The sequence below is a fragment of the Homo sapiens genome, chromosome 20 (genome assembly GCF_000001405.40).
Source record: "Homo sapiens chromosome 20, GRCh38.p14 Primary Assembly".
Classification (NCBI taxonomy): domain Eukaryota; kingdom Metazoa; phylum Chordata; class Mammalia; order Primates; family Hominidae; genus Homo; species Homo sapiens.
The window spans coordinates 18165139-18191386 of NC_000020.11; the positions used below are offsets into that span (position 1 = coordinate 18165139).

At 42.7% G+C, this 26248-nt stretch overlaps 1 protein-coding gene across 16 annotated transcripts in view; it reads left to right on the forward strand.

Moving 5' to 3' along the window:
- KAT14 (lysine acetyltransferase 14) overlaps positions 1-22897 on the forward strand; it is a 50883-nt gene extending 27986 nt beyond the window's left edge. For 13 of the 16 annotated variants that reach the window (NR_028402.4, NM_001392075.1, NM_001392072.1 and 10 more), the window contains 4 exons: positions 16572-16708; positions 17985-18160; positions 19464-19654; positions 22148-22897. Coding sequence is in view for 15 of the 16 variants with exons in the window: in NM_001392075.1 (NP_001379004.1) it covers positions 16572-16708; positions 17985-18160; positions 19464-19654; positions 22148-22321 (678 nt within the window). In the remaining variant the exon portion in view is untranslated. The remainder of the gene's footprint in view (positions 1-16571; positions 16709-17984; positions 18161-19463; positions 19655-22147) is intronic. The other 3 variants (NM_001392079.1, NM_001392080.1, NM_001392081.1) reach the window with 2 other exon arrangements.
- Positions 22898-26248: the final 3351 nt, after the last annotated feature.

Below are 26248 nucleotides of genomic sequence, written 5' to 3' on the forward strand. Positions count from 1 at the left end.
GAGGAAGCCACTTTGACTTACAGTGTTAATTATTCTTTTGCTTTTTAAATGTGTATGTCTCTAAATGATATACTTTTCGTTTAAAAAAATACTGAGTAGCAAGCATAAATCTAGCTGTGTAAGTAAATTGCCACTATTAGATGAAGTTTCCTGGAGAAGATAAGCTAAATAGTCATTCTGGGTCATTGTTGTGGACTGAATTGTGTCCCCCTTAAGCATATGTTGAAGTCCCAACCCTGGTACCTATGAATGCAGCCTTATCTGGAAATAGGCCCTTTGCAAATATAATTAGCCAAGACCACCAAGGATTGCCGGCAGCACCAGGAGCTAAGAGAAGGGCACAGAACAAATTCTCCCCTAGTGCGTACCCCAGAGAGCATAGCCCTGCCCACACTGTGACTTCTGACATTTGGCCTCTAGAACTGTGAGACAATAAATTCCTGTTGTTTTAAGCCACCCAGTTTGTGGTGCTTTGTTCCTACAGCCCTGGGAAACTAATACTTACAGTGATGTTCTGGCTTCGGCTTCCATGAACCCCTTCTGAGGTAGTCACTGGCCAAGGTCACTAGGGAGTCCTGGGAAACATGAGGCTCACCATAGCGTATGCATCAGCCAGGGCTGTGATGTATACCAGAGATGCGGCAGAAATCTGGGCAGAGGAAGTGGGATCCTCTGTATTTCCTGCCTGAGCTGACAGCTTCCTTCCAGCTTGCAGAAGGTCAAAGCAGTTATTTGTGGAGTGAGCATCATCAGCTGGTCTTTGGGGTGGGCATGGGTGGTGTACAGGAGGCTCACCTGTACATGGTGAAGACAAGCTGAGCGTAGATAAGATTCTGGGCCACGACGCCATAGGTTTAAAAGATGGTCAGTGGCAGCAAGGACTTAAGGATGATAGCCTCAATATGTGTTAGAAATACCAAAATTGTTAGAAATAGATAATCGGTGCTGCGAAGAAAAGTCAGCACAGAGACAAAAGGTATCTCAGCAAGGCCATCTTTTCTTTCTGTAGAAAGGGTGCTCAGTTGCAGATGGAACAAAGGTGAGAGCACACTTGAACACAGGAAAAGCAGACATATTTATCCCTTACGCACTTGGGTCGTCCTTACTGCTGTGTCCTGCATCCACTGGCTGGAGCGGGACCTCACAATCTTAAACTGATACCCGATTTGCTAATAGCCTAAAACTTTCCTAAATAGGTAAGTGCAGGGAAGAACAAAGAAGTTGCTTACAAAAGGTTTAAGGAAGCAATAACATTTCCAAATAAGGAAGGGGCGTAGACTGTGGGCTGGAACGTGCCTGTGAGCATGTCCAACGGTTACAGAGGATAGGGCTTAACAAAGAGTTATTAGCACAAGGCAAGGAGACTTGAAGAAAGTTAGTCTTTAAAAGAAACTGTTATTTCTAACACTTATGATTTATTCTTTAACAAGAAGGAAAACTTTGAAGAGGAAACTTTTTACTTTCTACACTATGTCTGCCCCTTGGGTCACACTTGTTCACCCTTTGTTGTGAAACTCAGCAGGGGTGTTGGGATCTCCCCTCTCTGGAGATTCTTTTGCCCTCCTCTGTATTTGATCTCCTGTTTCCTGTGGCCCATCTTTACCTTGTTATAGGTTTATTCCCTTGTTCTTAATGACTTCCTGAGAAAAGCTGCATGGGAAGTAAAATTTGAGACCAACATACTGAAAAGACCCTCATTAAGTGAGGTTGAACCTGGAATTCCATACACAGCCACATTGTCTAGGTGAGACCTCTGTTGAGGACCACTGCACTTCCTTTAGGTTTTTTCTTTGAATCTAGTCAGAGTCCCTGGGGAATAATCTTCTGGGCTCAGGATGCTGGTTGCCAAGTTGGGGAAGAGGGACCTTAGCATTCAGCTTGTCAGGTACTCACACCTCAGCCCTCCAGCTGGATCCCCTGTTAGTTCTCTAGAGATCAGACCTCCTGGCTTCTGGGGGAGGGCAGCCACCCAGCAACAGGGAGTGGAAGGATCTGGGGATCATACTGCTTTCCACATGGTGTTTGCCTGCTCCTTATTTTATTGTCCCATTTGGTCCCAGTTCCAGAGGAATCTGCTGGCTGCTGCCTGGATTTTAGCGGGTTCTGTAGTATAGATTGGGTTAGTTCTCATTTAGCTTACCCAAAGCCACTTTGGGATTTTGGTGTTAAATCAGTTACTATTTGTCCATCTGTTTACCAGTTACTGTTCTAATTAAGTCAGCTTCTATAGTTTTAGTGGGATTTTGGGAAGTAGTAAAGCTTTATATGCTTGTGTTTTAACCCAGTCTTAACTTGGAATTTTAGTATAAATTTTAATGTATTTACACAGGGAGTGGCTGTAAATGCATTTATTCAATCCATACTCTTGTTTTATATTTATTCTTTGAATGTATTCGTAGCTATAAGTTTCTCAATAAGTGCTGCTTTAGCTGTGATTCTTGACTTTTGAAATGATGTGATTTTATTTCCAATCAGTACTTGGCATTTTGTTATTTTTCTCATTATTTCCTCTTTAATCCAAAGGTTATTTAGTTGTTTTTTGGTTTTCAGATATATGAGAATTTTAAGCTATGTTTTGGTAATTGATGTGATTTCTAATGTTGTATTATGATCAGAGAAAATAGTTTATGTGATGTTCATTCTGTACCATAAAGAAAGTTATACATTCTATTTTTATTCTTTTTATAGGTCCTAACTTAAGATACATTTATTTTTCCTTATTCTTTTTTTAATATCATGTGGTTGTCCCCCCAAACAAAAAAGTACATTTTCATGCACTTATCTCTTTTTTTCTTTTGTATTGCTTATTTAAATGACATAAATCTTTACTAAATTATTCACTCGTCCTATTGTTTCTTTCTAGATTAATTTCTTGCTGGACTGCTTTCTCTAACAGTTCTTTAAAAATATGGGCTTTTTGAGGTTAATTTTGAAAACTTATACGACTAAGAATATCTTCATTTCACTTTTTCATTTAAATGATAGCAGTCATATAAAATTGTTATTTTAGTTTTTTCCATTGATATTTTGAAATTATGACTTCATTATCATCTTACATACAGTGTCACTCCTGAGAACCCCGGTACTGATAAGAAATAGAAATTTTTGACTGGGCTCAGTGGCTCATGCCTGTAATCCCAGCACTTTGGGAGGTCGAGGCAGGCAGATCACTTGAGGCCAGGAATTTGAGACCAGCCTGGACAATATGGTGAAACCCCGTCTCTACTAAAAATAAAAAAATTAGCCAGGCCTGGTGGCGCATGCCTATAATCCCAGCTGCTTGGGAGGCTGAGGCTTGAGAATCACTTGAACCAGAGAGGCAGAGGTTACAGTGAGCTGAGATCATGCCACTGCACTCCAGCGTGGGTGATTGGGTGAGACTCTCTCTCAAAAAAAAAAAATTTTTTTTGTTTCTTATCAATTAAGTGGCCTCCTTGTTTTATTCTCCCATCTCCTAAAACTTTCAGAATTTTCTCTTTGTTTTTTATCTTTAATTAGTGCATGTTAAGTGTCTTTTATTTTCTCTTTTTAAAGCTTTGTTTTCTTTTTTCTATTATTTTATTTTCCAGCACATCCAAAACACAGAAATTGTGTTTGTTCTCATTTGTCTTACTTGACAACTCTGTTCTTTTGGTCAGAGGTATTTTATATGCTTCTTGGCATTTATTCTGCTTGGTGTTCGCTGACCTTCCTGAATGTGTGGTTTGGTGTCTGACATTAAATTGGGGATATTCTCAGTCATTATTGCTTCAAATTTTTCTTCTATTCCTTTCTGTCTTCTGGTATTCCCATTGTGTGTTTATTACACCTTTTGTAGTTTTCCGCAGTTCTCGGATAGTCTGTTTTGTTCTTTTTTTTCATCTTTTTTGTCTTTGCTTTTCAGTTTTGGAAGTTTTTACTGACAGATCCTCAAGTTCAGAGATTCTTTACTCAGCCGTGTCCAGTCTACAAATAAGCCCATCATCAAAGGCAACCTTTATATTGGTTACAGTGTTTTTTATCTCCAGCATTTCTTTTTGATTCATTTTCAGAGTTTTCATCTCTTTAATTGCCCATCTGTTCTTGCATATTGTGTATTTTGTCCATTAAGCCCTTAACATATTAAACATATTATAGGCATATCTTGTTTTATTCACATTGCTGTATTGCACTTCACAGATACTGCATTTTGTACAAATGGAAGGTTTGTGACAATCTTATGTCGAGCAAGTCTGTTGGCACCATTTTTCTAGTAGTGTGTGCTTACTTTCTGTCTCTGTGTCTCACGTTTTGGCAGTTTTTGCATTACTTCCAACTTTTTCATTATTATTATATCTTTTATGGTGGTCTGTGATCAGTGATCTTTGATGTTAGTATTGTAATTGTTTTGGAGCACCATGAACCACACCCATATGAGACAATGAACTTAATTGGTAAATGTGTGTTTTCTGACTGTTGCACTAACCAGCTGTTCCCCATGTTTCTCCCTCTCCTTGGGGCTCCCTGTTCCCTGAGACAACAATATTGGAATTAGGTCAGTTAACCCTACAATGGCTTTTAAGTGTTCAAGTAAAAGGAAGAGTTATACTTCTCTCACTTTAAATAAAAAACTAGAAATGATTAAGTTTAGTGAGGAAAGCATTTCAAAAGCAGAGATAGGCTGAAAGCGAGGCCTCTTGTGCCAAACAATTAGCCAAGGTGTGAATGCAAAGGAAAAGTTCTTGAAGGTCATTAAAGGTGCTACTCCAGTGAGTGCACAACTGATAAAAAATCGAAGTAGCCTTATTGCTGATATGGAGAAAGTTTGAGTGGTCTGGATAGAAGATCAAACCAGCCACAGTATTCCCTTAAGCCAAAGCCTAATCCAGAGTAAGGCCTTAACTCTTGAATTCTGTAAAGGCTTGGAGAAGGGAGGAAGCTACAGAAGAAAAGTTGGAAGCTATCAGAGGTTGGTTCATGAGGTTTAGGAAAGAAGGCAGCTCTATAACACAAAAGAGTGCAAGTTAAAGCAGCATTTGCTAATGTAGAAGCAGCAACACGTTATCTAGAAGACCTAGCTAAGATCATTGATGGAAGTGGCTACACTAAGCAAGATGTTCACTGTAGATGAAACAGCCTTCTATTTGAAGAAGATGCCACCTAGGACTTTCATAGTTAGAGAGAAGTCAGTGCCTAGCTTCAGAGCTTCAAAGGACAAGCCAACTGTCTTGTTAGGGATTAATGCAACTGGTGACTTTCAGTTGGAGCCAGTGATCATTTACTCTTCCAAAAATCTTAGGGCCCTTATAAATTATCCTGAATCTACCCTGGCTGTGCTCTATAAATATAGCAGCAAAGCTTGGATGACAGCATATCTGTTTACAGCATGGTTTACTGAATATTCTAAGCCCACTATTGAAAGCTACTACTCAGAGAAAAAGATTATTTTCTTTTTTGAGACGGAGTCTTGCTCTGTCGCCCAGGCTGGAGTGCAGTGGCGCAATCTCGGCTCACTGCAAGCTCCACCTCCCAGGTTCATGCCATTCTCCTGCCTCAGCCTCCTGAGTAGCTGGGACTACAGGCGTCCGCCACCATGCCCAGCTTATTTTTTGTATTTTTTTTAGTAGAGACGGGATTTCACCGTGTTAGCCAGGAGGGCCTCGATCTCCTGACCTCGTGGTCCGCCCGCCTCGGCCTCCCAAAGTGCTGGGATTACAGGCATGAGCCACCGTGCCCGGCCTGAAAAAGATTATTTTCAAACAATTACTGCTCATTGACAATGTACCTGGTCACCCAAGAGTTCTGATTGAGAGGTTTAAGATTAGTATTATTTTCATGCCTGCTAAAACAACATCTATTCTGTAACCCATGGATCAAGGAGTAATTTTGACTTTCAAGTCTTACCATTTAAGACTCTTTTTAAGGCTATTGCTATCATAGATAGTGATTCCTCTGATAGATCTGGGCAAAGACATTGAAAACCTTCTGGAAAAGGAGTCATCATTCTAGATGCCATTAAGAACATTTGTGATTCATGGGAGGAATCAAAATTTCAACATTTACAGGAGTTTGGAAGAAGTTGATTCCAAGCCTCATGGATGACTTTTGAGGGGTTCAAGACTTCAGTGGAAGAAGTCACTGTGGATGTGGAAAGAGCAAGAGAACTAGAATTAGAAGTGGAGCCTGAAGATGTGACCGATAAATGTCATGATAAAACTTGAATGAATAAGTGTTGCTTCTTATGGATGAGCAAAGAAAGTGGTTTTTTGAGATGCTATCTACTCCTGCTAAAGATGCTATGAACATTGTTGAAATCTCACAACAAAAGATTTAGAATATTGCATAAACTTAGTTGATAAGTTAGTGGCACAGTTTGACTCAGATTTTGAAAGAAGTTATGTTGTGGGTGAAATGCTGTCAAACAGCATCACATGGCCAGGCACAGTGGCTCACGCCTGTAATCCCAGCACTTTGGGAGGCCGAGGCGGGCGGATCACGTGAGGTCAGGAGTTTGAGACCAGCCTGGCCAACATAGTGAAACCCTGTCTTTACTGAAAATACAAAAATTAGCCAGGCGTGGTGGTGTACACCTGTAGTCCCAGCTACTTGGGAGGCTGAGGCAGGAGAATCGCTTGAACCTGGGAGGTGGAGGTCTCAGTTAGCTGAGATCATACCCCTGCACTGTAGCCTAGGCAACAGGGCAAGACTCTGTCTCAAAAAAACCAATATCTTTTGTGAAAGGAAGAGCAGGTCAATGTGGCATGCTTCAGTGTTGTCTTATTTTAAGAAATTGCCCCAGCCATCCCAACCTTCAGCAGCCACCACCACCCTGATCAGTTGGCAACCATCAATATTGAGGCAAGAGCCTCTACCAATAAAATGATTGACTCACTGAAGGCTCAGATGATCATTGGCATTTTTTAACAATAAAGTGTTTAAAATTAAGTCACACATTTTTTTCTTAGACATAATGCTGTTATTGCACACAACAACAATATAGTGTCAACTTTTTTTTTTTTATTTGAGACAGAGTCTCACTCTGTCACCCAGGCTGGAGTGCAGTGGTGCGATCTCGGCTTACTGCAGCCTCCACCTCCTGGGTTCAAGCGATTCTTCTGCCTCAGCCTCCCGAGTAGCTGGGACTAAAGGTGCGTGCCACCACGCCCAGCTAATTTTTGTATTTTTAGTAGAGATGGGATTTCACCATATTGGCCAGGCTGGTCTTGAACTCCTGACCTCGTGATCCGCCCGCCTCGGCCTCCCAAAGTGCTGGAATTACAGGTTTGAGCCACTACGCCTGGCCACTTTTTTTTTTTTTTTGAGACAGTGTCTCGCTGTCACCCAGGCTGGAGTGTAGTGGCACAATCATGGCTCACTGTAGCTGTCAGTTGACTTCCTGGGCTCATGCAGTCCTCCCACTTCAGCCTCCCAATGTGCTGGTATTACAGGCATGAGCCACCACACCCAGCCTTAAACATAATTTTTATATGCACTGGGACACCAAAAACTTGTGCAGCTTGCTTTATTATGACATTCACTTTATTGCAGTGGTCTGGCACTGATCCTGCAATGTCTCTGAGGTGTGCCTATATTTTAAATTCCCAGTCCAGTAGCTGTAACATCTTTGCCATATCTCAGTCTGGTTCTGATGTTTGTTCTGTGTCTTCAAGCTGTGTTTTTTTGCCTTTATACCTTGTAATTTTTTGTTGAAAGCCAAAGATGATGTTCTGGGTAAGAGGAGCTGTGATAAGTAGGCTGTTGGAAATGGGGGAGGTGTGGGCAGGGAAAGCCCTCTATAGCTCTGTGAGTAGTTCTCAGTCTTTTTTGAGCCTGTGCTCTGGGCTGTGGACTAAAAGTGCTTCTCAGTTTTCTCTCCGGTCAGCTGGGACAGGATGGCTAGAGGGTGTGAAGTTAGGTATTTCTCTTCCCCCAGGTGAGTTAGGCTCTGATTAAATCCCAATAGGTTAGGCTCTGATAAAAATAACTTCTCCTGAGGGCAGGTGTTACTAAGAACACAATGCTGTGTTTTATTTTAAGATGGTTCCTTTTCCCCTCCTCCATCTGGAATCAAGAGGGGAGTTTTCTTTGATATTCACTGTGAGAACCTGGTCCAACTTCTGGAGGTGAACCTTGTGGAGTGGAGTTTTTATCCTTAGACTTGTCCGCATTGAGCCTTCAGCAATTTTCAGTTCTTCAGGGCTTTCCCGCCTTGATGCTGGTTCCCACAGAGGCTCTGCTCCCGTGTGCTGTGATTCTCTTTCTCTCCAAATTTGAGGGCAGTGGTTTGCCTTGTTATCTCATGTCTTTTACGGATCTACAAGAGTTCTTGATTTTTCACTTTGTTCAGTGGTTTACTTGTTAGGCTGGAGGAATGACTTCTAAGCTTCTTGCCTGCCAGAGTGGAAATCAGAAGTCCTTGGATATGCTGCTGTGATCTAGGAAATTCCCCATTATTGCTTCTTTAAATATGTTCCTCCTTTATCTTTTCCTCTTCTGCACTCTGAATATGGATGTTAACACCATTACTTCTTTTTTTTTTTTTTGTCTTTTCTTTTGCTTTTTAAACAAAATCCTTAACCAGTCCCTGACATCATTTGTTGAGTGCTTTATTTCAGTGATCATGTGTTTAATATCTGGTAATGAATAAGAGATGCTTCATAATTACTCATTCCTGCTTCCAGGCTCCTCCATTACCTTGGAGGCTATTTCTTATGCTTTTTCTTCCTTAACAGCTTTATTAACATACAGTTCATATACCTTACAATTCACCTATTTAAAGTGTACAGTTGACGGGTTCCTAATATATTCACAAAGTTGAACCATAATCAATTTTAGAACATTTTGTTAACCCACAAAGAATCCCTGAACCCTTTAGCTGTTACTACCCAAAACTCCCTATTCCTACTGCCCATGAATTGACTTTCTGCCTCTGTAGATTTATGTACTCTGGACATTTCACATAAATGGAGTCATATAATATGTGGCCTTTGGTGAACACTTTCTTTCACTTAGCATAATGTTTTCAAGATTCATCCATATTGTAACATATATTAGTATTCCTAAATATGGCTTAATATTCCATTGTATGGATAGACCACATTTGGTTTATCCATTCATCAGTTGATGGACTTTTGGGTTGTTTCTACCTTTTGACTATGAACATAAATACTGCTTTGAACATATGTATACAAGTTTTTGTGTGGACACACATTTTTATTTCTCTGAGTGTAGATCTAGGAGTGGAATTGCTTTGTCAAATGTAACTCTGTGTTTAACTTTTTGAAGGATTGCTAGACTGTCTTCCAAAGTGGCTGTGCCGTTTTACATTCCCACCAAGCAGGGTATGAAGATTCTGATTTCTCCACACATCCTTGCCATATTGTTGTTGTCTGTCTTTTTTATTATAGCCATCCTACTGAGTATGAAGTGTAGTATCTCATTGCAGTTTTGATTTGCATTTCTTTGATGACTATTATACTTTAAAATTCTTGTCTGTTTGGTAAATTAAGTGTGCCTTTTCCTGTAATAGCTTGTTTAGTTTGTTATCCTTTTGTTTTCTTGCTTTTTTTTTTATTTTTTTTTTTGAGGTGGATTTTTACTGTTGTCGCCCAGGCTGGAGTATAGTGATGCGATCTCGGCTCACTGCAACCTCTGCCTCCTGGGTTCAAGCAGTTCTCCTGCCTCAGCCACCGAAGTAGCTGGGATTACAGGTGCCCGCCACCACACCCAGCTAATTTTTGTATTTTTATTAGAGATGTGGGTTTCATCATGTTGGCCAGGCTGGTCTCGAACTCCTGACCTCAGGTGATCCACCCACCTCGGCCTCCCAGAGTGTTGGGATTACAGGCATGAGCCACCGCGCCCGGCGATTTTCTTGCACTTTTTATTTATGGGTCTTGATTTTTTTTTTCCCCGTGAGCTCATACCCCCTTAGTGTTTTCAGCTACCTTTGCTGGCAGTTTACACCTAGGGAAGAGAGCAAAAGCCTGGTTCCTAGCTTTTGACCCTGTCAGCAAGTTTAGCAAAATGGGAGGTTCTGGGCAAAACCATTTCTCCTCCTCTCTTTTTCCCACAATCAGCCACCCTCTTCTCTCAGGGAACCTCCCAGGACCTCTCGCCCAGGTGCTGCTTTTAATCTCCCTCTGGTGTTGCTTCCTAGGACTGTGGGATGCTCAGGGGCTGCCCAGAGTGGTATCCACCCTCACCCAGGAAGGCTCTAGTGCTGCTCTGGCGTTACCTTCCAGCCAATACGTGGCTGGCAAAGTTGATTGGCAGCGATCTACCTCTCCCAGAGAAGTGCTCGGGGGAGGAGATGGCTTAACCAAGCAGCCCCTGACCCATCTGTGGGGCAGAGCCTTTTTCTGCCCTCTCTACTCTGCTGCCTCACTCGTACCCAGCCACCTGTCGCCTCCCCGGGCTTTCTCCCAGCCTTGTGTTTTGCCTTCCCTCTCATGTCTGTAGCATCTCTCAGATGGGCTTGGAAAGGGACCAAGCAGCCCTCCTAGCTCTCCATTGTGTTTAGAATTAGAAGTATAAAGAAACTCATTTAACATTTTTTCTCACTTATTTGACCTTGGGATGCTTTTTTTTCCCACACTTTACCATTCAGCAAATGCAAGTCAAGTACATAACATACACCGAGAGCCGAAACATGGCTCAAACCTGTAATCCCAGCACTTTGGGAGGCCAAGGCAGGCAGATCACTTGAGCTCAGGAGTTTGAGACCAGCCTGGGCAACATGAGGAAACCTCGTCTCTACCAAAAAAAATACAAAAATTAGCCAGGTGTGGTGACATGTGCTACTTAGGAGGCTGAGGTGAGAGGATCACTTGAGCTAGGAGGTCAAGGCTGTAGTGAGCCATGATCATGCCACTGCACTCCAGCGTGGGCAACTGAGTGAGACTGTCTCAAAAAAAAAAAAAAAAAGCCAGGTATGGTGGCTCACCCCTGTAATCCCCACACTTTGGGAGGCTGAGGTGGGCAGATCATGATGTCAGGAGTTCAAGACCAGCCTGGCCAACATAATGAAACCCCGTCTCTACTAAAAATACAAAAATTAGCCAGGCATGCTGGCGCGTGCCTGTAGTCCCACTACTCAGGAGGCTGAGGCAGGAGAATCGCTTGAATCTGGGAGGTGGAGGTTGCAGTGAGCCGAGATGACACCTCTGCATTCCAGCTTGGGCAACAGAGTGAGACTTCGTCTCAAAAAAAAAAAAAAAAAAAGTGCCAAGCGCTATTCTAGCAGGGGATCTGCTGTGAACTAAGACAGAGTAGGTCCCTGTCCTTAGGCAGGGGGCATCCTTGAGCAGGGAGCTGACATTAACTAGCTCACCAGGCAAATAAGATTACATCATGCAGAGTGAACGCGGGGACAGTGATGTTACATCATGCAGAGTGAACGTGGGGAGGAGTAGCGGGCAGGAGCACTGCTCTATGGGGGTTCAGGACGGCCTCTCTGAGGAGGCAGCACTTGAACTAAGTCCACAAGGAGGAGCCAGGGTGATGAAGGGTCAGTGTGGAAGGCCCAGGCGCAGGCCCTGAAGCAGGAGTTGGGTTGGTGTATGTGGCTGGAACCTGGTGATGGCAGAGGGAACGGGTTGGTGGCTAATGAGGCTACTGGGGTGACAGGGGCCAGATCCTGCAGGATCCTACAGGTCATAAGTAAGGAGTTTGAACTGCATTCTGAACATATGGTAGGAAGCCATGTCAGAGTTTTGATCAAGGGAAGTGAATTTATGTTTTTAGAAGACTCTGGCTTCTGTGTCGAGAGTGGATAGTATGGGTGTAAGAGTGGGAGCAGAGAGACCAATGGGAGGCAGTTGATCCAGGCAGCATTGGGAGTGGTTTACACTAGAGTGGGAAGAAGTTAGGGAGCTGTATAACTTTGATGGAGCTTCCCAGAACTTACCTTGAGGCATTAACCAGATAATGAGAGTATTCTGTGCAGTAAGTAGTTCAGTGCCTGGTGTTACAGTTATCTGTTGCTGCATTATAAACCACTCCAAAACTTAGTGGCTTTTGATCCCTGTATCTTTTTTCTGATTCTGTGGATTGACTGGGCACTGTTGGGTTCTTTACTTAGTGGGCTGAAGGCTGGGTTCACTCATGTGCTGCATTAACCTGAGAGCTAGTTTGGGATTGGAATGACCAGGAGAGCCTCTCTTCCTCCAGAGTCCATCTCCCTGTGGCCTCTAGTTATTAACTGGTCTAGCTGGACTCCAAGAGGGAGAAAGTGGAAGCAAGCCACCAGTTGTCTTAAGACCTAGACTCAAAAGTCCCAGAAAGTTATTTCTGCTACTTTCTGATTGGTCAGAGCTATTCACAAGGTCCACCCAGCTTCAGTGGGTGGGGAAATTTATCCTGCCTTTTGATACGAGGAGCCGCTTAGTAGGGATGGAGGAATTGTTAGTGGCTGTATTTAGAAATTACATACCACACTTTTCAGTTTTACCTTGAAACTGACTTTAAGCCTTGGAAGAATTCAAAGTTGGCCTTTGAAAATTTTGGTGTCCAGTTTGGGAAGGTATGAAAGCAAATTATAATGGAAGGAATCTTGCTCTTTCCTTTTAACAAAGTTATTTTCTAGGTTAAGAGCAAACTGATTCTACAAAAACAAGTTTTTAAACATCATCCAACCCTTCGCAAACAACTTTATAAATGTGCCTTTTAATCTTCCATCTGATTTCTTTGCTATAAAGCCCTAATTGTACATGTTCTGTTAGTACATGACTGAGAGCCCTGGAGCGGCAGTCATTGAAGAACAACATATTTCCAGTCCAGCTCTTGGGGTTTGAAATGAAACACATAAAATCTACCAAGTCTGTTAGGATACCTTCCTAGGGAACAGAGGCCTCTTCCTCATTGAACCCCTGATAAGACCTCTCTGCTACTGAGATTTATTTTAGGGAGGCTGAGGCAGGAGAATCACTTGAACCTGGGAGGCAGAGGTTGTAGTGAGCCAAGATCGCACCACTGCACTCCAGCCTGGATAACAGAGCAAGACTCTATCTCAAAAAAAAAACAAAAAACAAAAGTGACTTGGGTGCTATTGAAAGCATTCCATTTTAAAAGGGAAACAGAACATAAAAGTTCAGAAAAGTTGCAGCCTGACAATGCAGTAGACAAAAAAAACCTATTTTTTGAGGAGAAAGTCAAGCTGGCTGCAGAAATTTACATAAGTAACAAGGAGCCGAATGTTAATCCCCAAGACAATCTCCATGGCATTCCACGGGAATCCACGGGAGTGATATTCTACATCACTCCCATTTTTGTCAAATTTATTCACTGGAAAAGAGATTGTATTAGTTTGTTTTCATGCTGCTGATAAAGACATACCTGAGATTGGGAAGAAAAAGAGGTTTAATTGGACTTAGAGTCCCACCTGGCTAGGGAGACCTCAGAATCATGGTGGGAGGCAAAAGCCACTCTTACATGGTGGTGGCAAGAGAAAAATGAGAAAGATGCAAAAGTGGAAACCCCTGATAAAACCATCAGATCTCGTGAGACTTATTCACTACCATGAGAACAGTATGGTGGAAACCGCCCCCGTGATTCAAATTATCTCCCACTGGGTCTCTCCCACACCATGTGGGAATTATGGGAATACAATTCAAGATGAGATTTGAGTGGAGACACAGAGCCAAACCATATCATTCCACCCCTGGCCTCTCCAAATCTCATGCCCTCACACTAAAAAACCAATCATGCCTTCCCAACAGTCCCCCAAAGTCTTAACTCATTTCAGCATTAACCCGAAAGTCCATAGTCCCAAGTCTCATCTGAGACAAGGCAAGTCCCTTCCATCTGTGAGCCTGTAAAATCAAAAGCAAGCTAGTTACTTCCTAGATACAGTGAGGGTACAGGTATTGGGTAAATACAGCAGTTCTACATGGGAGAAATAGGCCAAAACAAAGGGGTTACAGGGCCCATGCAAGCTTGAATTCCAGCAGGGCAAATTCTAAATGATCTAAAATGATCTCCTTTGACTCCTTATCTTACATCCAGGTCACACTGATGCAAAAGGTAGGTTCTCAGAGTCTTAGGCAGCTCCACCCCTGTGGCTTTGCAGGGTATAGCCCCCCTCCTGGCTGCTTTCATGGGCTGGCATTGAGTGTCCAACTTTTCCAGTTGCACAGTGCAGGCTATCGGTGGATCTGCCATTCTGGGGTCTGAAGGACGGTGGCCCTCTTCTCACAGCTAGGCACTGCCCCAGTAGGGACTCTGTGTGGGGGCTCTGACCCCACATTTCCCCTCTGCACTGCCCTAGCAGAGATTATCCATGAGGGCCCTGCCCTGACAGCAAACTTTTGCCTGGGCATCCAGGTGTTTCCATACATCTTCTGAAATCTAGGTGGAGGTTCCCAAACCTCAATTCTGGACTTCTGTGCACCCTCAGGCTCAATGCAAAGTGGAAGCTGCCAAGGTTTGGGGCTTGCACCCTGTGAAACCATGGGCCGAGCTGTACCTTGGCCCCTTTTAGCAATGACTGGAGCGGCTGGGGCACAGGGCGGCAAGTCCCCAGGCTGCCTTCTAGGCTTCCAGGTCTGTGATGGGAGGGGCTGCCATGAATACCTATGGCATGCCGTGGAGATTGTCTTGGGGATTAACATTCGGCTCCTTGTTACTTATGTAAATTTCTGCAGCCAGCTTGACTTTCTCCTCAAAAAATAGGTTTTTCTTTTCTACTGCATTGTCAGGCTGCAACTTTTCTGAACTTTTATGTTCTGTTTCCCTTTTAAAATGGAATGCTTTTAATAGCACCCAAGTCACTTTTGTTTTTTGTTTTTTTTTGAGATAGAGTCTTGCTCTGTTGTCCAGGCTGGAGTGCAGTGGTGCGATCTTGGCTCACTACAACCTCTACCTCCCAGGTTCAAGTGATTCTCCTGCCTCAGCCTCCCAAGTAGCTGGGATTACAGGTGTGTGCCACTATGCCTGGCTAATTTTTGCATTTTTAGTAGAGACAGGGTTTCACCATGTTGGCCAGGCTGGTCTTGAACTCCTAACCTCAGGTGATCTGCCCACCTCCGTCTCCCATAGTGCTAGGATTACAGGCATGAGCCACCATGCCTGGCCTTCAAGTCACCTCTTGAATGCTCTGCTGCTTAGAAATTTCTTCCACCAGATACCCTAAATCATCTCAAATTCAGAGTTCCACAGATCTCTAGGGCAGGGCAAAATGCCAGCAGTCTCTTTGCTAAAACATAGTAAGAGTCACCTTTGCTCCAATTCCCAACAAATTCCTCATCTCCATCTGAGACCACCTCAGCCTGGACCTTATTGTTCATATCACTATCAGCATTTTTGTCAAAGCCATTCAACAAATCTCTAGGAAGTTCCAAACTTTCCCACATTTTCCTGTCTTCTTATGAGCCCTCCAAACTGTTTCAGCCTCTGCCTAATACCCAGTTCCAAAGTCATTTCCACATTTTCAGATATCTTTTCAGCAACACCCCACTCCTGGTACCAATTTATTATATTAGTCTGTCTTCATGCTGCTGATAAAGACATACCCAAGACTGGGAAGAAAAGGAGGTTTAATTGGACTTACAGTTCCACATGGCTGGGTAGGCCTCAGAATCATGGCAGGAGGTGAAAGACACTTCTTAGTGGGCAGTGGCAAGAAACAAATGAGGAAGATGCAAAAGCAGAAACCCCTGATTAAAAAAAACAAAACATCGGACCTTGTGAGACTTATTCACTACGAGAACAGTATGGTGGAAACCGCCCCCATGATTCAAATTATCTCCCACCAGGTCCCTCCCACAACACAAAGGAATTAAGGGAGTACAATTCAAGATGAGGTTTGTCTGGGAACACAGAGCCAAACCATATCAGAGATGTATTTCAAAAATTCTATATACAGTAGTAGTTGGCCCCAGTGGCTCTTTGGATAACAGAGCAATCATATAATATGACTCATGTGTGTGTTACCTACTTGATACTAGTTAATATTTAGTGAATGGGTTGAAGGCATAATATAGACAAAGTGAAGCCTAGAGAAGCTGCAAATCCAGTGTTCAATCCTGCATCTCACTCCCTCTAATGAGTTAAAAAAAATTTTTAAATGACTTCAGAATTTTAAAATTATTATTTTTATTTTAAACAGCTGGGGTTTTTTGTGTCTAGTTTTATGCAAAGGTGTCTATAAACTTTGTATTGAAGTTTGAGCTTTCCAAATAAGTAATACAAAAAGACCTACTTTATGACACATAAAAATATGATACTAATTATATATGGAAATTAACCAATCCTCAGAGTAATTTTGTTTCTTTTTTTTTTTTTTTTTTTTTTGAGACGGAGTCTCGCTCTATCGCCCAGGCTGGAGTGCAGTGGTGCAATCTCGGCTCACTGCAAGCTCCGCCTCCTGGGTTCACGCCATTCTCCTGCCTCAGCCTCCCAAGTAGCTGGGACTACAGGCGCACCTGCCACCACGGCCGGCTAATTTTTGTATTTTTAGTAGAGACAGGGTTTTACCGTGTTAGCCAGGATGATCTCGATCTTGTGACCTTGTGATCCGCCTACCTCAGCTTCCCAAAGTGTTGGGATTACCGGCATGAGCCACTGTGCCCAGCCTGAGTAATTATTTCTATATAACCAGTGTTTCTTTCTCATAGACTTCCTTGCCGTCCAGGAAGGGATTTCGACACCAGACCACCAAGTTTTTGTATCGCTTGGTAGGATCAGAAGATATGGCTGTGGACCAGAGTATTGTCAGCCCTTATACCTCTCGGATCTTGAAACCTTATATCAGGTATATGGAGAACTAGAGGTGTGATGTCAGGTGTGTCATGAGGGATAATGATTGTGGTTTCTGTGCCCTGTTCTCCTGTTGGAGAGAATAAAGATCACAAACTGTGAACAACATTGGCAAGGACTGAGTTCTGTGCTTCACCTCCAGTTTTGTCCTTTGCTTGTTTCAACTCTACTTTTTTGCAGAGAACATGGTCCTTTGAAAGAAACTTAAAAAGCAAAAATAAATTAACTGAAAGATTGCTTTGTGATGATCATAATCATTGTTTTATTTATTATTATTATTTTTTTTTTGAGACAGACTCTTGCCCTGTCACCCAGGCTGGGCTGCAGTGGTGCAATCTTGGCTCACTGTAACCTCTGCCTCCGGGGTTCAGGGAATTATCTTGCCTCAGCCTCCCAAGTAGCTGGGATTATAGGCATGCACCACCAAGCCCAGCTAATTTTTGTATTTTTAGCAGAGACAGGGTTTCACCGTGTTGGCCAAGCTGGTCTTGAACTCCTGACCTCAAGTGATCCACCCAGCTTGGCCTCCCAAAGTGCTGGGATTACAGGCGTGAGCCACTGGGGCCGGCCCTCATTATGTTATTTTAAATACTAAAGTTGTATATTTTTAGTAGTCTGAAATGAAAAAATGTGAAAGACATCTCAGTTGAGCCTCCATCTGGACTGGATGTATATGAAGCAGTTTCCAATAATGAATGTCATTGTCCAGGCAATGAAATGGAAGCTGAGCTTGCTAGAGAGGACCCAGCAGTGTCTGGCACTGTAAATGAGAGCACATTATTGCACTCATTGCACTACAATTGCCCTGCAGCTCCATGATCACCCTGACCCTCCATGCCAGCACCACATTCCTGGGCAGGCACAGTGAGAAGCAGTTTGTGAGCCTGCTCCAAGCTCATTGTGTCTCTGGTGTTCCCCAAATGCCCCGCAAAGTTGAGTGTTCCCTCTTCTGGCCTCCAAGGCACTGGAGATGCATCCTCATGTCTGACTCCTTGGGGTGAATCTGATGCTGTATCTGTTTCCTCACTGTTCATGAAGGCACCTAGCACAGTCCCTGGTGGGTACAGAGGGCTTTGGCCTGATGAATGTTCAGAGTGAATTTTAGATTTCATACATAAAAGTATAGCTGTAATCAAGCCAGCTTCGTGTAAAACAGTGCAGGTTACTTTAAAGTTTCAAGCAGATCAAAGAGTTTATATGAGTCAAAAAGCTAGGAATAATACCAGGTATTTTTCTTGACTTGAATTTGTTTATCTTCTGTGGTACCGGAGGCGTGATTATGAAACAAAGCCACCCAAACTGCAGCTCCTGTCACAGATTCGTTCCCACCTGCACAGGAGCGACCCTCACTGGACGCCGGAGCCCGACGCACCTCTCGATTACTGTTATGTGCGGCCAAATCACATCCCAACGATCAACTCCATGTGTCAGGAGTTTTTTTGGCCTGGTATGTTCCCCCTCCCAAACCAGGCAGGTCATTTTTCTGTACAGTCCATTCTAGCAATTTTTAAAATTAGTTTATGTGATATCCTTAAGATTTTTATTTATGATTTCGTTTAGTTTGTCTCTGCTAACATGGAAATATTAAAATACAAATACCTCTTGCTTTCCCAAAATCTAGAAGAAGCCAGCAATAAACAGTGTTTTTGTTTGTTTCTCTTCCCTGTTTGTCTCTGTTTCCAGAGTAAAAGATTCATCCTGTTTTGCTTCTGCATATGTTTAGATACCAGGTAATGTCTATCAAAGATACACAGACTGGTAGCTTGGGCGTGTTTGGACACTTTTGTTTTTGGCTTAATAATTCTTTATGTTTTGTTTATTTAGCTGTTCCTTAGAGAGTATTAGTACAGCCAGAAGGTGTTTTTTAAAAGCCAAATGCCCTGATCACAGACTGAGAATAAGGGTAAACCCAATATAATTTGTCATTTTATCAGCCTTAACAAAATTGCCTCTGAAGACCAAAGTCATTAATTAAAGGAACACATTTGCATTGCTAAATATAAACTATTCTTTGTGGATCTGCTTTCCCACGCTGCCTTGAAACCTAAAGGAAATAATACATGTCTTTCAGATGTTAGATACGATTTCATCAAGATAGAGCTGTGTCGTCTTTATTGTCACATAATCACATAACTGTGAATGTGGTGGCAGAGCTGCACTCATTCTTTTGGGAGTCATACTGAGCCAAAAGTAACATTCTGGGAGCATCTCCTGCTTCCTGCCCTTATGTTAGGTGCCTTCCATACATTATGCACAGAAGCATATTTTACTTATTTATTGTGAAAGGTAGCATTTGTACAAAAGAACTTATAAATTATATGTGTGGGGGGTAAAGGATGTGATAGAACACGCTCGGAGGATCTTTACTTAACCCTGTCAGGTCTAGGTATGCTCTTCATCTTACATATTGCAGAAACGGAGTCTCTGAGACATTTTGAAATGTGCCAAGCCACACATGGTAGAGGAGGCTGAGTTCAAAGCCAGCTGTGTCCAATTCTGAACCCGTGCACTGCTACCTACCCTATTCTGCCACTCTTCTTTTAGGAAATACTATGTAATTTCAATATTTTCTAAAATTCACTCTTATTTTTATGATCTGGTTGTGTGGTCTCTATGTTACCTCCAGTTTTGGTGTTTTTTTTTTTTTTTTTTAGCATGCAGGTGTAGCTATATGTACATGCTGAACAGCTTGGTGTTCCTTAATTCTCAAAGGCATGTGGTTTGAGTCTCCGATGGTTTCTTTTCTTTAGGCATTGACCTGTCTGAGTGTCTGCAGTACCCAGACTTCAGTGTTGTTGTTCTTTATAAAAAAGTCATCATTGCCTTTGGCTTCATGGTTCCTGATGTGAAATACAATGAAGCTTACATTTCATTTCTGTTCGTCCACCCTGAATGGAGAAGAGCAGGGATTGCAACTTTCATGATCTATCATCTGATTCAGGTAAGTTGTCTATGTTTATGATTTATCACCTGTGTCTGGGCTCCCCTGAACAACCTGGAGGAGGAATGAAGCTGAGCTAGCCCTTCCCAGCATGGCCCAATGGAATGGTTTCCTTGTAAACCAAGTGAAGAAAGCCAGTCATCAGCATTCATGAGGTTATCAAAGCACACAGTCAAAAATCTTCGACCCTCTAAAATAAGATTATTATTCAGACTCAGGTTTCATAGAAACCAGTTTGTGAACATGTGTATAAATAAAATGAGAAAATACCAAAAGCAAGAGCTTTAGGGTGGACTATTCATATTAGTAGTAGCTACTGCTCTTAGGATCATCACCTTCGCAACTCAGAGAAGTGAGGGTAGGACTATTATTTTTATTTTTTTAAATATTTGTAAACATTTTAGCACAACTGTATCAATAAGAATATGTATATATTTTTTGAGACAGGGTCTCATTCTGTCACCCAGACTGGAGTTGCACAATCATAGCTCACTGCAGCCTCAACCTCCTGGGCTCGAGTGATTTTCCCGCCTCAGCCTTCTGGGTAGCCAGGACCACAGGTGCACACTGCCATGCCCGGCTGATTTTTTGTAGGGACAGGGTCTCACTGTGTTGCCTGGTCTGTGCTTGAACTCCTTGGTTCAAGCAATCCTTCCACCTCAGCCTCCCGAGTGCTGGGATTATGGGCATGAGCCACTGTGCCTAGCTACATATTTTATTTTTGCTGATAGTTTGTAATTTTACTATCACTGTATAAGGCTGATATGAACCTTCTAAGATTTGATTCTAGTATTGAATTATAATTCATCCTTTAATATATTTGTATCACCTTTGAAGAAAATACACCATATATCACCATCAAAAAACATGCAAGGATTTTTTTCCCCTAGAATTTTTTTTAGTCAACTTTTACTTAGAAACCATTTGGTATGGAGGATTATATGTTTATGCAGGCAAGATTCCTTTTAAAGAGGAGATGAAGATGATAAAAGTTGTTTCTCCAATTTTTAATGAAACTTGCTTAATAATTCCCAAATGTTGGCAGGAACCTTGGAACCATTTTCCTAGAAATTGCTTTCCTTCTCTCCTTAGGCAGTGATTATGTAAATCACTCACTGAGTAATTAATATGTGCTACTTTGGGTGGTGGTTTTCTCTTGAGAGCTTCTCAGTTATTTCTACAACACTCCCTTTCTCTGCCCCATCCCAACCAAGAGTTGATCTCTCAGTATGCGTCTTTTTAACCTAGGAGAGCACTTAGAGGATTTGCTGCCGTATCTGTCACTGGTAAGGGCCTGAAGACAGGGCACGAATAGTACTCTGTCCTTGTGTGTGTGTGTCCTTGGTGCCCAACATGAGGGCTGGTACAGAGTCAGTCCCTGCTGAGTGTTTGCGAGGCCACTGGAGGAGTGGTTCATCTTTGCAGGTGGGCACCTTCCCCTCCAGCCAGACCATACCCCTGAGGGCCCAAACATAGGTGGCGCACAGTCGCTGGCACTCAATGATGGCCACGGTGAGATCACGTATATTTGCAATCTAGCAAACACCAATATGACCCCACAAAATTTGCTTTAAAAACTCACAAAGTGCTCTTGTCCCTGGCATACTGGTAAGTGCTCTCTTGTCCTAAAAATGCCTATGGATACACATGGAAGTTAAGCAGAGAAAGCAGGTAGCTATCAGATGACTGTCAACAGAGGAGTTCTTAGAGGCCTGAGAGAACCATGGGTTATAAATCTCAAGGACTCTATCAACTTCAGTATTTCAGTGCCTTCTTTATTAAAAAGTAAGTTCTTAAATGATATGACTTTTGGGACACCTTACTCTGTGTAGCTGATTAAAGAATCTAAGGACTTGCCTTGTGTTGATAGAATGATTGTTACTCTTTTCCCCTAAGATTAGGTCAAAGCTGAATGTAGAAATCTCAGTTCTAAGAAGCTAATTCTGTCAGTTTTAGAGAGACAGAAGGTGGACTTTGGGATTCAGAAGGTCTATACAAGGGCCTCAGGTTTTATAATTACATTCTTAATATTTCATGTTTGTGCATGTAATTTAGCAGGCCTAGTAAAGGAATTTTTACAGGTTTTGGGGAGGTACAAGATAACATCTAGTTTTAAAAAGCAAAACTTATTTTGTTTTGTATTTATTCAAGGTTATCATAGTGTTAGGTATTGAAATGTTTGACATATTTAAAGGTAATTGAGTTGTAAATAATAAAGCTGACAATAACAATATCCCCATTGACCCTTTGCTTCAAAGAAAAATAAAAAACACCCAGAATACTATCAGTTTCCTTGGTCTTGTGAATGTTTTGATCAGCAGCAAAATGTCATTCTGTTTCCAGCTGTTGCTAGGTGTTGCAATGTCTCAGCCTCAGTCTCTGATTTCTCCGGTTTCCATAACTAACTGCCTACACTTAAAAGCGTTTCTTTACCTACTCATTTTCCCTCAGGCCTTTCCATTTTTATCTTGTATTTTTCCACTCTTTTGGCAGACCTGCATGGGCAAGGACGTAACCCTTCACGTCTCAGCAAGCAACCCCGCTATGCTACTGTACCAGAAGTTTGGATTCAAGACTGAAGAATATGTATTAGATTTCTATGATAAATATTACCCATTGGAGAGTACAGAGTGTAAACACGCATTCTTTCTGAGGCTCCGGCGCTGATGCGAATACAGCTCACAGAGAAACGCATGTGCTATTGGAGAACAGGTCTTTGTGGAGATCTAAAGGCAGTGATTGATTTCACAGGGAGCTCTAATCTCTGTGATTACATGGTCCTTCAAACTCCCAACCAAAGTGAGAAAAGCGGCATGCAGTGAAATGAGCAGTGAGCAGCCCTTTAGCAAAATCGCCCTCCAGTCCTTCCTGGAGATGCCTTCAGCCAGCATCCCAGACTCCACAGTTATTTATGAATGATGTCGTGATTCTCCCTCCACCTGACAGTTTGTAAGAGTGAAAGAGCATCTAACCTGATGCTCTTGGAGAGAGATAACCTGTCTGTCATAACTTAAAGGATGAGAAAATGTGGTGTAGCTATTAAAGATTCATGCAGTCCCAAAAGGCACTGTCCTGGGATGATGAGAGATTATAAGGTGATTTCATAAAAGGAATCCAACCCTGTGCCCGGCCATTGATGTGTTGTCATTGAATCCAGGAGGATTTCTAGGGCACTGAAGTTTTGTTGTTTCTTTTGCTGACTTTGGTTACAGTCAGAAAAAATAAACTAGATGTTTGTGTCTACATGTTCTACCTGTTGTACCTATTAGCATCTTCCTGCAGGGACTTGGGCCCATGGCCTGGGAGGTTGGTTTGGGATTGGGGTTGTTGGGCAGCCTGCCATTCACCTGGCCTATCCTGGCCCTTCTCATGCCCAAGACAGTTGTTTCACAGGAGTGGAAGTGTGGGTGATGCAAGTAGAACCCTCTAGATGTACCCTGTGTGGTCTGCAGGACTGGACTGTTTGCTGTGTTTGTGGATGTTGGCGATAGACTGTCAATTAGGTTGTTTGTGATCCAACAAGAACATTTCCAAAAGTATCTAGGTGTTCTCAAATAAAAAGCTTTCTTTGCACAACCCATGGCCAGAGCGTCAATCTAGTCAGTTTGCTTTCAAACCCTCTTTAATTAAGATCAGTGGTTCTTAACTTTTTGGGACATGGATCACTTTGAGAATACAAAGAAAGCTGAATACTCTCTAGAAAACTGTCATGCACATTTAAAATTTTGCATCAGGGATCTGTCGACCACAAGTTAAGAACATCTGTTCTAGAAGCTGTACTTGCAGCCAGCTCGAATTCCTTTGTGAGAGAGAATGTGTTGAGCTCCCACATTAAGCCAATCTGGAAGCTGTTCAGTCATCTGGGGAAACAGTTGAGGCTCCATTTCATTTGTGAGAGGAACTGTAGCAGCACTGTCTTATCTATTTCTTTCCTTTTCTTTACCTCCTACCCTGCCTCCCAAGAGTTTTCTGCCTCTTTGGAAGGTTTTTGTTGACAGAATGGATTGTAACACCACGAAGTAAAATTGAGGAGACAACATTTCCACATCTGTAAACCAGCTTGTGATTGTTGTATGTGAATGTCAGGCATTTGTTGTTGCAAAGTGGGGGCTCAAATAATTGTCTCTGTAACTTCAGGGAGCTGAGGAAAGCTGTGATTGCTTTTACTGACTCTGTTTCACTTTTTTTTTTTAATTTTGAGAAATTTTAAAAACCCTTTTCATTTCTTTTTTCTTTTTTAAATTTTGAGACAGGGTCTCACTTTGTCGCCCAGGCTGCAGTGAAGTGGCACTGGCGCAATCTCAGCTCACTGCAACTTCCGCCTCCCAGGTTCAAGTGATTCTCCTGCCTCAGCCTCCTGAATAGCTGGGACCACAGGAACACGCGACCACACCTCGCTAATTTTTTGTGTTTTTGGTAGAGATGGGGTTTCACCGTGTTTTCCAGGCTGGTCTCGAACTCCTGAGCTCAAGTGATCTTGGCCTCCCAAATTGCTGGGATTATAGGCATGAGCCACCACACCCGGCCTTTGAGAAATTTTAATCACACACAAAGACAATGATGCCACAAACCCCATCACCCATATTCAACAATTGTTGAAATTCTATGTCATTTGCTTCATTTATCCTTTTTTTTTTTTGCTAAACTATCTGAAGGTAAATTCTAGATATCATATAATTTTACCACTTCTTACTCAAATAGGTATTTCTAAAAAATAAGGATATTTTCTTATATAATCTCAGTGTTCATTATCAGTCCTCTAACAAGATGAACATGTTTGGAATTATCTAGCAGTCAACCTGTAGTCACACCTTTTGAATTGTTTCAGAAATTCCTTTTACAGTTGGTTTGTTGGATCAGCGGCCAAGCAGGGTCCACATAAGTGACTTACTGTCCTGTCTCCACCGCCTGTTCATCCAGAGTGCCTCCGCCCTATTACTGCACTGCCACTGACAACATCAGTTGTCCCATGGCATGTCCCACATGTGGGTTGTCTGTTGCGTCCTTGTGGTGTCCTTCATGGGGCAGGACTGACTGGACAAGGTGAGGAGTGGACCTATGCTTGTCTCTTTAGCGGAGGGTGGGGACAGCTGACTCCCTGCCCCACTCCATTCCCTGCTTGGGTGTTGGGGCAGGGCCATTTCCCAGGGGTGGGCTTGATGGCCCCTGTGTGTGGGGCAGCTGTCGGTTTTGATCTGCCTTTCTCTCTGGCCCTTCTGAGCTAGCCCTGTAGTAAACCCTTAGCTAGTCCTCTAGAAGTGAATCTCCACAGTGCCAGGCTTGGGGCTGGGTTGCGGAAGAGCCATGTTTTGGTGGATTAAAGTCAAAATTTACTGTGAAGTTTCAGAATATCAAGTAAGGAGGAAGGCTTGTTTTTTCATGCCACAAAAGTGAGAATGAGTTCTGAATGAGTTCTGACAAGCTGAAGAGCTCTGCCTTCAGTTGTGTGTTCGTGAGAGAGTCTGGATTGTCCCCTTGGGAGGTGGCCTGGGGTAGCCAGGTGGGCCTTTGGGATCCCTAGGGGGTTGCAGTAATTCTGATTAATTATTGTCCATATTTACTCAGTCTTGTTCTAGGGAGGTTGAGCTCTATTTACAGCAGGATGGTTAAGAACCAGAAACATAATTTTAAATTTTCTAAAGGCAGTTAACATATTTTACATAAAGTTTTCATCACCTAAAAGCCACATTGCCTTGGGACCTTTTCCTGGAACTGTCTCCTGCAAGTGGCTTGGTGTATTCACTACAGCCCTGGGGAGAAGCATCCAGGTTGACCCCACAATGTGGGGTTGCATTACACAGTGTGGTTAAGCATATCCTCCAGGTATCTAACAGCAGGAAGTTGCAGTAAAAACATAATGTACCTCAGAACTGGGAATGGCCATGGGGTCATGAGACTCTTCATTAGTACATACCTAACTCACATACTTGTGAGTTTGTTAGTACATACTTGACTCTGAGAAATGTATTACAGTTATTTATGAGAAACAAGTTCACAGTCTTAGTGAATGTCATGCTTCAGCTTCCTCATCTGTAAAACAGGGTTGATGAGACCCACCTCACACATTTGTAGTGATAGGTACAACAAGGTCAAGAAAATCACAAATGGAGGACCCTGAATTCAAAGCCAGGCAGTCTGGTACCACAGCCTTCAGCCTTCACCGCTCTGGCTAAGCCTTGGGGAGGGGGCTGGGAGGTGTAGGGGGTAGTTTAGGGGGTCTGTGTGTGTCTGGCTCGGTACTGCCCCCAGTGCCTGGAGTGGTGCCCAGCACAGAGCCAGTACTCCACACATTGGATGAAGGAGGGAGAAAATGAGCTGTGTGTACCGGGAGTTCAATGTGATGAGAGACCTCAGTAATGCCTCTTGTTTTTTTCACTTTTTAAATATAGGCATGGAATCTTTCTGTTTATCAGAAATCATAAGTGTTTCTCATTGCACCCAGCCCCTTCTCTTTGCCTGGATAGGTAAAGGCAACTCTTAGCCTCTTAGAACCTTACAACATTATATACAGGTTACCCCATGCTAGAACAATCTCTACAAAAGTAACCAAAGACTGTAGTAAAATTTCAGTTTTATGAGCTAAAGGAAAAGACT